This window comes from Homo sapiens, chromosome 20, assembly GCF_000001405.40.
Source record: "Homo sapiens chromosome 20, GRCh38.p14 Primary Assembly".
In the NCBI taxonomy this organism is placed as follows: Eukaryota; Metazoa; Chordata; class Mammalia; order Primates; family Hominidae; genus Homo; species Homo sapiens.
The window spans coordinates 22,421,300-22,436,953 of NC_000020.11; the positions used below are offsets into that span (position 1 = coordinate 22,421,300).

General features: G+C 41.7%; 2 annotated features.

Moving 5' to 3' along the window:
• Positions 9,513–9,657: an enhancer, noted in NCBI's record as "145 bp enhancer 246 fragment used in the MPRA reporter construct; PK_construct_1089". NCBI's record gives its function as "activates an SV40 promoter by MPRA in HepG2 cells {active_cell/tissue: HepG2}" and the evidence as "EXISTENCE:reporter gene assay evidence [ECO:0000049][PMID:23512712]".
• Positions 9,580–9,591: a transcriptional cis regulatory region, noted in NCBI's record as "FOXA motif; enhancer activity is reduced when this motif is scrambled". NCBI's record gives its function as "necessary for full MPRA enhancer 246 activity {active_cell/tissue: HepG2}" and the evidence as "EXISTENCE:site-directed mutagenesis evidence [ECO:0005528][PMID:23512712]".

Below are 15,654 nucleotides of genomic sequence, written 5' to 3' on the forward strand. Positions count from 1 at the left end.
TGAGCAAAATATTGGAACAAGGCAGGGCCATCTCCTCCCAACATGGGACCACTCTATGGGCGGTCTTTGTGGCAGAGCTCCTGGTTGGTCTCTGGGGGCTTTCTCGGAGCAATGCTGTGCTCTAAGAGTCCATCTTTTTAATCCTCCCTTCTCCCCATCTTGTCCTGCTAGTCTTAGCCCCGCAGCATGGTCTGAAGGCTCTCCCTGTCAACTCCTGCTTTTTTCCACTTTGCCATTTGCAGTTGCTCACAATAAATCTCTTGCTCTTTTACCTTCTTCTTGGCATCTGCTTCCTGGAGGACTCAAACAGCTCAGTTCCTGGTCAGCAGAGCTGTGATGGTATATGGCCAAATGTGAACATAATTTATCAAAGAACAGGTAAAAAATCCACCAGGCTCATATTTTCACATTATATTTACACTCAAGTGCATGTAGTTAGCCCTCTTGAAAAAAAAAAGAATCTATGCTGGCTACCTTCCTTGTACAGGAAAATCTGTTTGTATGTTATTTATATTTTTCTTCTTAGTAATTTGAGATATGTTAGAATCTTTAATGATTTAGAATTTTATTGACAAAATTAATGACCTTGTGCTAAGTGAATCTGGATCACTTACCTCTGAATGCAGCACTCACCTTTCTCCACCTACTCAGGCCTTTTAAACTGCATCATCGGCTTCCTTTCTGGCTTCCAGTTAGGCTCAGCCAATGGAAATCACCAGCAGAAGATGTGAGGTGAGAGAGACTGAAGTTGGGGAGGTGCTCTTTCCTGCTGTCTCCCCGCTGAGCCACCACGGTGTCTACTGAAGCCCGCAGCACCTATCAGTGGATGCTACTTGCTCTGGGCTCTGGTGGCTCCTTCCTTCCCTGGCCCATCAGGCTCAGGTTCCCGAACAGCTCCCCACTGCAACTGGCCCTGGGGGACTGCACCATCACTCCCAGCACTTCCCAGACCCTGTACAGAGTTGAGTGTGCCTGCCAGCGCCCTGAGAGACTGAAACAGAAGCCAAACACAATTTTTTTCACTTATCCAAATTCATGTAGTACAAGGTCATTAATTTTGTCACTCAAATTCTAGATCATTAGGTTTAAAGATTCTAACATGTTTCAAATACTAAAAAATAAAAATATAAATACTGTACAAGAAGATTCTATCTCTAGAAATGTGTTGAGATAACTACTGAAATAAAAATCTGCTTGAGCTTTATTATGGAATTATTTCCACCAGTTTGCCATGAGAAGCAATGTAGAATCTGTCAAAAGCAATAATCAGTCATAGCTGAGTTTGTTACAATTCAACATACTCCATGAAAGAAAAGGTCCCATCTGGATCAAAAGTCTTTTGGGATTAATGAATGAGATTCTTGTGGTTAATAAAATTGTTTTTTGTCCTTGAACAAGTATCTCCACCCCGCAATGGGATTCCAATTTCTCCCATACATTGAATGGTGAAATGAACAAAATGATTCCAGACAGTGTTTCTGAAACTTTTTTTTAATGGTTCCTTTAGGAAAGCTGTGATCTTCCTCTTCAGACACAATATGAATCTGTTCCTATTCATAAAATAGGGATGTAATTTCAGAGTTTTGGAAAAACTTGTATCCCGTAGTCCTTGAGCCTTAAATTATAAACCCTACATACAAGCACACACACACAGAGACACACATACACAGATACGCACACACATAGGTGCACATACAAATATACACAATTCAACATAGGAAGGGAGAACTGCTAAATCTGAAGGTTAGTCAGGGAAAGCAAGGGACAGAATATATACAAATATATCTGTGTACGTGTGCACACATACACAAATGTCATTTTTAAGTGAATTTGGGTTTCAGAAAATCTGTTCTTACTCCACAGGTTTACGGTTGGTTAAATTCAGTCCCAGGTTTTCAAATGATTCTTAAATTGTTCAAATGCTTACCCAATTCATAGAGATAATATCAGGAAATTTGGGGGTTTCTACCAGAATGTATAAAGTGTTTCTAAGTCAAATATTTTGAACTAAATTCATGAGCTGAATTCACTTCATTGTCCAATGTCCATACTGTCTCGTCCATGTGCTATTGTTTTCACTTGTTGCACCACCACTGACAAATTGCCCAAGTCAGAAATGTGAGTGGCTTTGATGATTTCTCTTTCTTGTCGACAATTCCTAACAATTATGTCTCGAATGCATCTCAGGTGTTCTTCCTCCCTCTCTTTTCCTGGTCATTGTCCAGTCCTTCACCGCACTGTGGAGTGATTCCTCACTTCCTACTCCACTTCATCCTCACACCACCACTACTTATCCTTCCAAAATGCGCAGCTGATCTCATCATAGTCTACTCAGTTCTTGGTAATTTAGCTGGCTCTTTCTTGATCTCTTCCAGGAAGAAAGCAACAACCCTTTACCACGGGCCTGAGGAAGCCCTTCATGGCTGGGCTTCTGATCACCTCTTCCATACTCACCAGTGGCACTAAATCACTGTTATTTCTCAACACTGCATGACTTTCTCAAGCCCCCATGTCTTTGCATTTCTTCTACCTTCTGTCTTGACTTTCCTCCACTTAGACAGAGCCTTCTTATCCCTGATTCTCAGCCTAAATACCACGTCTTCAGAAGCCCTCACTGACTATAGCAGGACAAACTAATCACTCTCTCTTTTCTGCTACTGCTGCATATTTTGCTGCTATAATAGGTCGTATTACAGGATAGGGTAGATGTTTATCTACACCTCTCTGTTTCCCCAGGAAAGGTGTGCTCCCTGAGGTGGGACCAGATATTTAACCTATTCTACTGATTCAACTTTTTTCCTGGTGCCTAGCATATCGTGGACATCCCAAATATCCTGATTGAATAAATAAATAAACGAATTTCCACATCCCTTTCTTTAAAAAGTACCAACTCCTTAATTACTCTTAAATGCACTGTAAAAAAAAAAAGACCAAGTAATCTTATTGCATTATCCTTTGAGCATTTTTAACATCTCTATGAATTAAGTTATGAATCTCCTGATGACAGGGCCAACCAGGGAAAAATTAAGAAGCGATGAAAGTTCTGTTCTGTTCAGTCTCTAAGCCTCTCCTCAAGCTCACATTCCTTTCAGCTGCAGTGATTGCTACGTATAACCAGACATGCACACATTCACACACATACACACACATGAAGACACATATACTCAGGTACACACATACATGCATCTATCTGTGTACTTACGATACATGCAATTATACGTGCACGCACACTTACACCCAGACTACCCACAGGCAGGCATGCAGACACATATGTGAAAGAGGGTTAGGAAGTGCTACATATGTACACACCAATGGAATGCTTAGTTTCCTCTACATGCTAAGCTAACTATTTCACATAAAATATTAAATTAAATATCACAGTGGCCTTGGAGATAGGCATTATTTCAGATACAGATGAGTCATATAGGTAAACTGAGTCTTAAAACCATTGGAAATCTTGCCCAAACTGCCATCACAGGCTGGCACTGGGTTTCTTTGTTATATTTCAACCTTGAACCCATAGTCCCTCCAGTCTACCATTTTCTATTTCTGCACGCCTTCCCCTTCACAGCCTCTCTCTCCTGCACTCTGGGTAGCTGACACAAGCCAAAGACCATAGGTTCACTTTTTGGTGAGAAATAACTAGAAAAAATGATGACGAGCCAGTCAAACAGAACACTGGCCTTCAGAGCAGGGGTGAAAAGACACTTTAAAGCGAGAATGTAAGTCTGGACCACTACCAGGGTTATGGCAAGCTGGTATCAGTGTATTACTATAAAAAATGCTAGGCTGATGGTTGAGCACTAGGAATGGAGAGTGCTAACATTTAATAGATCTGAAGTTTACTTGCAAATAAGTTCCAGAATAATTGGAAAAATCAATGTATATATATATATTTATATTTCACACACACACATATATATATTTTACACGTCTTCTTCAAAAAGTAAAAATACTTTGATCTACATATGTGTGTACACATGCACATGAGCACACACACAGACACAAATATTTCCACTTATAAGTACTCCCATATTCATCCCCAAATTAGGTTTTACAGAAAAAATTGGCCTAGTTTTCTAATAAACTAAAGTAAAACCTTTTCTGCTCTTAAAGATCAAATGCGAGTTACTTTTCTGAAGACCACAAACTGTTTTCAACTAAGGCAAATTAGAAGCACAAAGCAACTAGATTGTTTTACTAACCCACTCTAATGATGTTAAAGGATGTCCACATTTTGTTGACATTACAAATTTGTCCATAAATCTAATGCGGGACAGAGTAACCTTCCTGCAGCAACAAGAGAGACAAATTCTAGAATGTGTTTTTCTACTTCTAAAGTAAATAAATAATGCTAAGCAAAAAGCAAAGCAAAACCAAAAACAAAACTAGGACCATGGAAGTAAATGCAAAGTCAACTTCGCGATTTAGGAAGGTCAAGCTGTTTGAAGAATTTAGGAAATGTATTTAAGCTGACTGTAAGTCTGGAATGCTCAGTCAGGAGTTAATAACTGACAGAGCTTGAGATACTCACAATGGCTCTGTAAGTTTCCTCTAGAGCCCTCCCTCCACAACAGGGCAGCCCAACTTCTCTTGCACACCTTCCAATGTCCATCACCAGGGATGAAAGAGTGGGCTGGGGAACATGTGAGTTACTGAGGTGGAAAATGGGGAGATAGCATAAGGCAGATAATAAGAAAAGATCTAATGCATTCCCTTTATTCCCAGAATTTCAGAGTTTTGCCCTTAGCCTGACCTGTCATAAGTATGCAGAGAATACATTCATTTCTATGACTGCAGTTTTAGTGAGACTCACAAAATATAAAAAGCCCTGGACTGGGAGTCAGGAGGCCACTGTTCCAGCTCTGCCTTGGCAGGGATTAGGCCTGTAGCAGCTCTGGTTACACAATCCACACATGTTGCAGTTTCTCTCTAAGTTGTGAACGAAATGATTAAAACACCCCTAATTGGCTTTAAAAGTTTTGCTCTCTGATCTTCCTCTCACCCCTTCCCTTGGTGGTACCATGAGGAAAGAACTAAAACTCATGTTTCCCTTAATTGTGGATTTCTTCCCATGTTGTGCCTAGGAGCAGCATAACCAAAAAAAAAAATCAAGTGTCTGTTGGGGTGACAATAAACTCAGCAGCAAGGATGATGGTAAGCCTTTTACAATTACAGTGTCTGGAGATAGCAGCATGGAGCGCTAATGTCAAGACAATTGAAAAGTCATCCCCTTTCAAGCAGTAAGACTTTCAAAATCTTTAGTGATTATGGGTGGCTATCATTCCAAAGGCTTAAGCACAATTCTGTTATTTTAAACACAATACCTCAAATCTGAATTATTTAAAAATAAAACTTCAGGACCATTTTAATAAAAGTTTAATAATTATGCTTTTGGTGTGTGTTATGGACTGTACATTTGTGCTCCCCCAAATTCATATACTGAAGCCCTAACCCCCAAAGTAATGGTATTAGGAGGCAGGGCCTTTGGGAGGTCATTAGGTTTAGATTAAATCATGAGGCGGGGTCCCATGATGACATTAATGGTCTTATTAGAAGAGGAAGAGATGCTGGAGCTCCATCTCTCTTCACCTGGTGGGGACACAGCAAAACGGTGGCTGCCTGCAAGCTCAGATAAGGACCCTCAGCAGGAACTAAAGGGGCCAGCACTTTGTTCTTGGACTTCCCAGCCCCTAGAACTGTGAGAAATAAATGTCTATTGTTTAGGCCTCCTAGTCTGTGGTATTTTTTATATAGCAGCTTAACAAAAGCAGTGTGTTAGTAAACATTCTTCAGTGCTTACAGGAAGCAGCCTCTGCCCATGCTGAAAATTACCATTTCAAATGCAACCTAAATTAGAACAACTATGTCTTTTTTTTTTTTTTGATGGAATTTCACTCTTGTGGTGTGATCTTGGCTCACTGCAACATCTGCCTCCCAGGTTCAAGCCATTCTCCTGCCTCAGCTTCCTGAGTAGCTGGGATTACAGGTTCCTGCCACCATCCCAGATAATTTGTTGTATTTTTAGTAGAGACAGGGTTTCGTCATGTTGGCAAGACTGGTCTCAAACTCCAGACCTCAGGTGATCCACCGGCCTCGGCCTCCCAAAGTGCTGGGATTACAGGTGTGAGCCACTGTGCCTGGCCTAGAACAACTATGTCAAATGGAGAAAACAGGCTCCAGTGAGCATCACTGGCATCCCTGTGGAGATGAGTGCATATGCTGAGCATGTAGATGTGACATCTGCTTGGTTATTACAGCTCTTAAATATCTTTAGACAGACGAGGTAGGCCAGTCATTGGCGTGTGGACAAAGGCCCAGTCTCTGCCTCATCAGTGCTTGACCTGTCCTCACTGAGGCCTGTGAGAAAAATCTCATGACTACAACTTGAGTTTGTTTTGTTTGAGTAGTTTTAGAACCAGGTTTACCTTCTTCCAAATTTTATATATATATACATATATATGCATACACACACACATAAATATGTGGGTATGTATATTTGTCAAGTTATTCTCAATGTTATGAATAAATATGGATCTCTGCTTTAAGATCTCTTATTCACCCCAGCTCAACTATTGCTATGTAATAACCACCCCAAGTTTACTGTAAAACCACACAAACCGTTTATTATTATTATTGATCATGATTCTGCAAGTTGACTAAGTTTAGCCGGGCAGTTCTCACTCAGGGTCTCTCATGTAGGAACAGTTGGACAGTGACTGGGGCTGGTGTTAGCTCACAGAAGACTCAAACAGCTGGCCTCCTTGGGCCTCCCTGTCTCTATGTGGTCTCCCCATATGGTCTCTTACCTGGGGGCTCAAATCTTTTGAAGTGTGTGTCCTAAGAGAGAGCACCAGGTGGAAACTGTATTGCCTTTTACAATCTAGCCTTGGAAGTCATGCAGCGCCACTTCTGCCCCATCCTACTCATTAGAAGTGAGTCACTAAACCCAGCCCTGTTCCATGGGAGGGAAGTTGATGCCACCTCTTGATGAGAGGAGCAGGTCTTCAGCACATTGCTTCCTTCCGGTCCTCCCTCCCTTTCTTCTTTCCATGGGTCACCGATGGTAGAACAGGAAAAAGTCTAGGAGGTAATTGTTTTTTCATTCTGTCTCCAAAATCCCTCACCATTTCTGTATTTCTACAGAGGAAAAACAGAGGCCAAGTAATTTGAATCATTCAACCCATCTCTAATAGTGGAGCCAGCAGTAGAACTCCAGGGCTCTTCAATTTTCTATGGAAAGCAAGAGAATTAAGGGGCCCAACTTATTCCTCCCAGTGTTGTCCAGAGGGACTGGATCAGAAGCTGATGGATTCTTTCCTCTGGCTTGCCAGGCTGGGGCTAGGTGCCCAGCTGTTTGTGATATTATGGAGAGAATTTATGGATGGGTTGAGTGTTGGACAAGAACAGTGTTTTCTAGATCATCATTCTCCAAGCCTGGCAATAAGGTTCTCCCTCTGAGATGGAGTTTAACTTGCAGGATATTTATTCAGGAGAGGCTCTGGGACCAATATCTGTGGAAGGGAGCCACAGTGGATACTACTGGGCATTCTGAAGTGGATTGTTCCTTCAGAGTAGTCCTGAGTGGGGCCAAGCTACAGAGCCTATGTGCACATCCATTTATCAGCCACTGGATGACCTGCCCAAAGGGGCCTGAGCACGGGCTCCAGGTGGCTCTCCACAGCTGACCCATTTCTGAAGGGGCTGATAGTGAAAACTGTCTGCCAGTGAAACTCTTAGCAGCTGAGATTTATTCCTTAAAGTCTTTCTTTAAAGGGGGGTCTGGACAGCCTCCCATAGTGATTTGTTGTGAATCACAAATGACAAGGCCCTGGCCCCCAGAGATTCTGGTTCAGTGGTCTGGGGTCAGGCCTGAGAATTCATGTTTCTTAAAGGCTCTAGGTGACTCTGCACAAGGGGTTTCCGTCATATCAGCTGGACGCTCTGAGGCTCTCCGGAGCAGAATGAGGTGCTAAGGTGTTGTGTCTAAACGCATGGCTTGGTCAAGTGTCCCAGTGCAGTGATCCTCAGAGGGTCAGATGCAGCGAAAGTGAAAATGAGCATGTGGGTTATCCAGACACCCCAAGTTTATCACCCTGTCTGGGCCAGGGTGCATGACGCTCACTCCTGCAAAACAGAGTGAGCAGGCAGGGCTGTTTCTTCCCCCTGCAGCTGGGAAGCCCCAGCCAGCCTGCTCCATTGAACTTTCAGCTCCCGGAGTTGGCTCATTCCCTCCCAGAGAAAACAGCCCTATTATAAACATACAAACTTGAGTTGGGGCGGGGGTCACAGGCTCTTGCCTAAGTCCATCCTGCAAAATTGACTTTTCTGTCAATGAGAACACAGCTCTGCTTTTACCTCTCCTGTGTGCTTTGGCAGTTTCTGCTTGGCTGTAAAATTTATCCAAGGAAAACTGGCATTTATCTTGGGTTCACTTGTACTCAGCAAAACTGATAAACAGATGGGGGCTGGCCAGGCCACGGGCAATTTGGTTAGCACTTTACAAAATACAAATGTCATCCTTTATTTTTACAGGGATTATTTATTGTGAATTAGGAAGTTATTGGTCTGTTATATTCTAACAGGATCATTCACTCCAGTTAAGGGATCCATGTCCCTATTATAAAGTGGTGGGGGGTGTCCTGGGTGGAAGAGACTTTCTGGCATTGTTGGCAATAAAGGAATAAAATGGCCCTGCTGGGTTTGCGTATGCACACACAGGGCACTTATCTGTGAAGACTGTGAAAAAAGAAAGAAGCAAAGAAAGAAATCAACAAGATTTGATGGGGAAGCTTGCAAAGGAGATCAGAATTCAGATCAAATGTCCCACCCCAGTGTCTCTGGAGTTTTTTTTCTTTTGTGTCCCAGCTAAAGGCACTGGGAGGATCAGAGACCTCATCCCAGCTCTGTTTACTTTGGGAACAATCGTTGGTGTATGAATAATAATGCCTCCCTCTGACCATGACTAATTGAATTGCAGCCTGCGGGCAGTGGGGAGGGGCTTTGCCGGGCCAGTCCATCACGGCGTTTCTCAAGTAGCCACCGACAGTGATGGATGCAGCGGCGCTTCCCAGAGTGCATCCTCGAACACCTAAGAGCAGGGGTATGAACCTGCATTCCGAGTTTCTATTAGCCGGGGCCTGGCAGAGAGGACGGGAATGGCGGCAGTTAAAGATGAGTTGGTTGATTAAAAGGAAGAGGAGAGGCAGCCCTTTTCCTAACCTCCTCCTCCCACACCTGATTTTAAGCAAGTTTTGTTCATGGGGACAAATGAGAAAATATTCATCGTGTGACCATGCAGGCCTCAGTGGGGCCACCTCTGCTGAGGCCGTGCCTGTTAAAAGTACTGGGCTTGTTTGGGGTGCAGTGGGAACCCTGGCTTGGAAAACAAAAAAGGCAAAACAGCCAAAGATTTGTCCTGTTAGAGGATGTTTAGAAGCCAACAAATGAGGTAGAAGAGGAGACAGAAAGACAAGAGAGAAGTAGGGGCAGTTGGAAACGGAGTCTATGGCCATGTCTATAATCCAACAATGGATCACACAGGGACCCTAACATTTGGTCGTCCTGTTGTCTGCGCTGTGTTTACACAGCAGAACCATGCAGCTGGGGCCCTGGGCTCAGTCGGACTTTGTTCTCACAGCATGAAGGTGACCCCTGGTGAACTGCGATCCGGGAAGCTTGTGCAGCCCAGCAGTCTCTATGGTGGTCTGGACACAGGGGAAGTCGTCCAATTACAGGGTCACTGCTTTCTATCTCAGTCGGATTTAGTCCGGGCCAAACCCCAGATTGGCACCTTTTTATGAGAGCTGTGCACGCCACCCTGGCTCCTTTTGGTGGCAGAGGCTGGCTGAAACTCCAGGCGGATTTTGGAGGCAGATGCTGGCTTTAAGGGAGCTTTGGTTGGCCTGCTCCTCTTGGAAAGCCCTGATAAAAGCATTCGGGGCAGGGGCTATACTTCTCTTGTATCTAAAATCCTGAAATTTTAAATCCCTCCAAACAGTTTCTTATAACTTTTTTGTTAGCTTACTATGCTTTAAAAATTATCCATAGGTCTTAGTACCAACAGTCATTTTACTGCACAGAAGTTTCTCAGCTCCCTTCTCTTATTTAAGAATGAGATACTCTCTGCCCATTCTGAACTTTACAGGAATAACTCAGGGTGTCTTGTTCTTATAAATAAAAAATTTTTAAAAAATCTTCTAATATGTTTCTATTTTATCTATCAATCCATTGATCTATATGTTTATTTATCCATCTGATTATCTATCTATCTATTTATCTATCTATCTATCTATCTATCTATCTATCTATCTATCTATCTATCTAATCTATCTGCTTTCCTACTTATCTTGGTGAATAAAATAAAGCCAGGAAAGAAAGGCAGGTGTGTTAAGGGAGCCGTCTATTCCTCTGGCATGAGTAGGGTGCAGGATGTAGTATCATGCAGCTGGTATTATGAGCTGTTGGAGGCAATTTCAAATCGATGCATAAAAATTATCTCCCCAGTATGTCCTGAATCCTAACCCCACTTGACCAAATGAACAATAAGACATTCAAGCAAAATAAGTAGTTTCCTGGTGCCTGTACCAAATGTGAAATATTTTCAACCCCTCAAATCCAGGCCGTTATAGCATTTTAGTCTCTGGTTTTCAACCCCCAGCCCAACCTACTAAACAAACATTGTGACCACCCTGGCGTGGGCCACACTCCTGGGGTTAAGATATTCCACCTAAAATCCCTTCAGTCTCTTTGAGCTGATATTCATGGACACTATTCTTGTGCTTTGAATACAAAACAAAGGGAGATGGAGCTGGCTTAGCTGCTGCAAAAGTGAGGGGAAGGAATGGTAAGAAGATGCATTTATGCCTGCAATTTGTCTTTAGAAAATAAATATTTCAAACATTTACTCAGAAACCAGGTTTTACTGTTTGTTATGAAGCAGCAGGATTTATTAAGAGAAAGCAGAAATCAGTGTAATTTATGGAAAGATGGCTGAAGACAGCCTATGTGGGCCCTGAAGCTGACCAAATTCTAATAGTCACCCTCCTTGGGTTCAGATGCATGGAGGAAAGCTGCGTCTTGAAATTGAGGGGGCTTTGAGTAGGACCACCACATAGTATCTTCACCACCCCAATAACCCTATTATAACTTCGTGCTTTGAATCTAGATGGCATCTGTACATCCCCACTCCTGCATTGCATTGAAATAAGGCTTGAAGGAGTATTTAAGAAGAAATTGATCAGGATACAGGGTGGAGAGTGCTAGGGAGGAAGGTAGGGTGTTCCAAGAAGAGGGCAGAGAGTAACTCAAAGAGAGAACAAGAATCAAAGGTATATTCCTATTCCTGCACAGTTGTCACTGGGGCCAGCCTGCAAAGCTGAGAGCAAGACTGATATCCTTCTACCAACTCTTAGTGGTCTAGCAGATGAAACCAAGTTAGAAATAGAACAATATTTTTCTGTAAAAGTGAATTCTTGTTAGTTACTTGAGATAACAGTGAAAGAATGACACTTTAATCTCTATGCTTCCTGTGGGCTATGCTCTAAGCACTTCCAATCTTCCACGTTCATGTTAATCCTCCCAACAATCTTGGAAGTGGATGTTATCATTTCCACTTTAGGCAATCAAGGCACAGAGAGGTCAAGTATATGCCAGGTGGTCTGTCCTCTAACAACCCAGGGGGCTGTCCTCAGGACTCTGGATGCAACCGTAACGGGGACACATTGCCCTCTGACCACTGGGATGGGTGCCTGAAGTTTCTGAAAATATTCCTCAAACTTGAAATACACTCAAACTAGAGAGTATTTAGTGGCTAGCAGAATTTGAATACAGCAAAATGGATAAAAACTTTTTTTTTAAAACTAACTAGTAATATTCAAATGGTCATATCCTTTTCACTTAGTAATTCTACTTCTGTGTGTTCCTTCTATTGAAAAACATGCAATTTTGCAAAGATCTGTTCAACCACAGTCATTGCAGTTTTATATGAGAGAGCAATGTTCCAGACTTTCTTGAAACACCACAAATGCCCTTCCAAAGAGGATCGTTGAGATAAACTATTTCATATGCTAGATATCTGCTAAAAGTACCAAGATTCATGCACTTAGCCTAAAATAGAAAATTCTCCATGATATTTTAAGTGAATAAAGAACCATAGAGAAACATCCCCATTTTATAAAATAATAATCACATAGGGCTATCCATGGAAAACATTCTGAAAGCAAATTCTCCAGTCAGTCAGTTATGGTCACCTCTGGGGTTGGGATCAGGGAAATATCCACTGTCTATGCTATACTTTATTCTGTAAATCTTTATTTCTTAATGAATATGTACTGTTAACAGAAAAAAAAGGAATGCAAAAGTTGTTGCTTAGCTCAGAAAATACCCAGTTGATCACCGCTGTCATCTAGCAATCGTATTTTTAAAAAACCATGTGCTGTGAGGTTATATAAGTTAGGTTCTTAATAGAATTTTTCTTATTATTCAAGAGGTTAATCATACCTGTTACCATGTATTCTGACAGCTGTTTCTGAGCCCTCTTTCCCGCTGCTCTAATGTCTATATTTTAGTAAAGTCTATTTTCAATATGAGTTCCATATTTCTGACCTATTCTCTAAAATTTGTTTGGAACCCCCACATCTTCATTCATGCCTTTTTGCACCCATTCACAGACATGCATAGTGTGGCAAAAATTTGAGTCATCCAAAGTACCTATTCTCAGATGAGGTGGAACAAGCTCCCATTCTGCCTTCCTGTTTTAGCTCTCAGACTATATATGAGTGTTCTTCTGTAGTCCATTCAGTGACATGATTTTTTTTTTACATTTTTGTGCTTTTTAATGGTAATTTTACTATTGAAAATGGCCCTCAAACATGGTGCTGAAGTACTGGCTATTGTCCCTAAGCCTGGGAAAGCTGGGATGCACCTTACAGAGAAAACAAGATGTGTTAGACAAGCTTTCTTCAAACTGCTGTTTGCTATGACTTCATGGTAAATGAATCAACCCTATATAGGAAATAAGGTGTCTTCTTATTTAAGTAAGTGGAAACACTCATAATACAATGTATGGATCCATTGTGGAAATGTTGTGACCAGAGGCTTGCAGGAACTTAACTCTATATTTCCTTTAGGAGCAGTGGGTTGCTAATACAGTGTTTGCAGCAACTTCATAGAACATAACTAGAGTGAATGAGGGAAACGGACTGTACTTTAGTCTGGGCGGCATGATCACAAGCAGGGAGTTCGGAGCTTAAGTCCTACCCCAGTGCTTTTGTGGCCCTGACCGTCACACTCCAGGGGTGCTAAGCCAGAATCTAAACAGCCACAGGCTGGCCAGTGGTAGCTGCTGAGAGTGCTCCTGCTATCTACACCTCCGCCAATGCCAGAAGCTTTGCCAAACAGCACACTGGGAGTCAGAGGTGGGATTCTGTTGATGACGTCAGTGGTACTCAAGATACGAGAAAATGTAGAGATGGTCGACCTCCCTGGAGGGTCTGTTAGCCTAGCAAAGCCCATTTCCATGCTCTTAGGAGTGGTTCCCAAATTAAGCTGGTGTCAGGCATTCACAGAAGGATTTCTGGGTGCCTGGGCAGGCTCTCGGGATGACAGAAGCCCCTGGAACACTGTCATGCCTGCCTCGAGGGCTGCACCCTGTGGCACAGAGAGAACTGAGGCATTTCTGGCCACACCACAGCCTTGGCAATCTGTCTTCCCATCCCCCATGCAACAGATCTGAAGTTAGTGAAATAAAATTAAAAAGGCAAAAAGTGTCTTTCCAAAAGTCCTAAGACCTATGTAACTAGTTAACCAGAAAAAGTCTGGGATTACTGTTAAGAAGTAAAGATGAGTTTGCTGGGATATATACAGTACTTTTCACCCACTACCCACATCCTAATGTAACATCAATTTACTTTTCTCTCCCACAATAGAAGCATATGTATTCATTTAGATACAAATTATATAAATGTATATAAAATTGCTATCATTCATATATTTAAAATCAAATAACCCAATCTTAACTAATTGCCTAAAAAGAAAAAGAAAACTTGTTGCTAAAGGAAAATTCAAATTATAATTCTCATTACCGATGAATACTTGAGTTGGCATCTAAATTCAGAAACTTGCATGGATTTCCAACGACTCTCAGTGGCTTCATTTGCCTTTCCTCTCTAGTCTCTGCTACCACTAATGAAAATCGAGCCTCTTTTCATAAAAATCCCATCTGTCCACTCCCACTCCGGCTCCTGTTTTTGGCTCAGTCAGATCAACTTGGGGTATGGTGGCAGCCTGTGGGGGAAGCTGTGATGTGCTCTCTCATCCGCTTTCAAGGGAGGACATGTTGCTCTGGCTGCTGGAGGGCCCTTCAGGGAAGCCTCAGCTGCCTGGAGCCCCTGGCCTCAGGTCATAGCTTCCCACATCCAACGACTGGTGGCCGTGAATGACCTCAAGCCTGGACATCTTGGCCAACTCAGAATGACCTTCAAGGACCCTCCCAGCTCCGAGACTAGCGCTAGCTTGTGCCAATCTTTGCCCCATTCATATTTTTACTTATTTTTCTTCTCCCATTATTTGCAAAAAAACCAAAAGAAATATTGAATTTTGAGGATGATAAAGAACCTAAGTGGCAGTGATTTTCCCCTACCTCTTAGAACGAGTCACATGCACTGAATTCCTGGCAGTGTCTTTCCTGCTCTGTCTTTGGAAAGCCAGCAAGTCTCCCTGAGGAAGACTATTTCCAATAAGGGCTGAATCTCCCTTTGTTGAATATTTGGATCACTGGGCCACTACCTGATATGACAGAGAGTATATTTGAATGAATGAATTCTTTGGGTCTCTTTCTTCTAATTTTTTTAGAAATCCATCCACTTTACTGACATGGGAATAGACAGCAAGTGCATACCCTGCTCTGTAAGTAAAGGGCCTCGGCTGGAATTTGCCCAGACAGTGACTCTGGTGCCTGTTCCTTTTTTCTGACATTTTGTCTGTTTTCTCCAATACTTGATTGAACAATTAGCTTTCTTTTTTTCCCCCTCTGATAGCTTTCATTTTCTATTTTGGACTGAAATATTTTTATATTATCTTTTTTATATTGGGCTAAACTTTATGACAGCTTAACATTTTATCTTAGAATTTTTTCACACTTTGAAATAATTTCTGCATTTATATTTCACTTAAATTCTACATTTAAATTTTGGTATCAATTATTTTCTACTGGATTAATTTTCCATAACAACGTATAAAATGTTTATAACACATTTAAATAAAACTTTATGGATCATTTATGATAAACAGTTAATGGTTATTACATAATGATTTGTGTTTTAATAAAAGTAATTGTCAATGTAAACTGGAGACCCAGCAATTTCATTCTGGTACCTTAAAAACAATAGACTATATGAACATCAAGCAGAACATTAAATATTGCCACTATAGCATTACTGATAAGGTTTCTTTTTTAAATTTTACACTTAAAAGTCCTCATCTCTGAGTTCATTGCTCACAGAATCTATTTAGAAGTACGGGTTATTTTAGATGTTATTAGATTAACAAGATTGATTGTTGTGCTAATTCTTTAAGTTAAAAGTAAAGTTATTTTACATCCATTGTCAGGACTGTTGTAATATACTGATTTCACGAGACCATGATATCTTATGG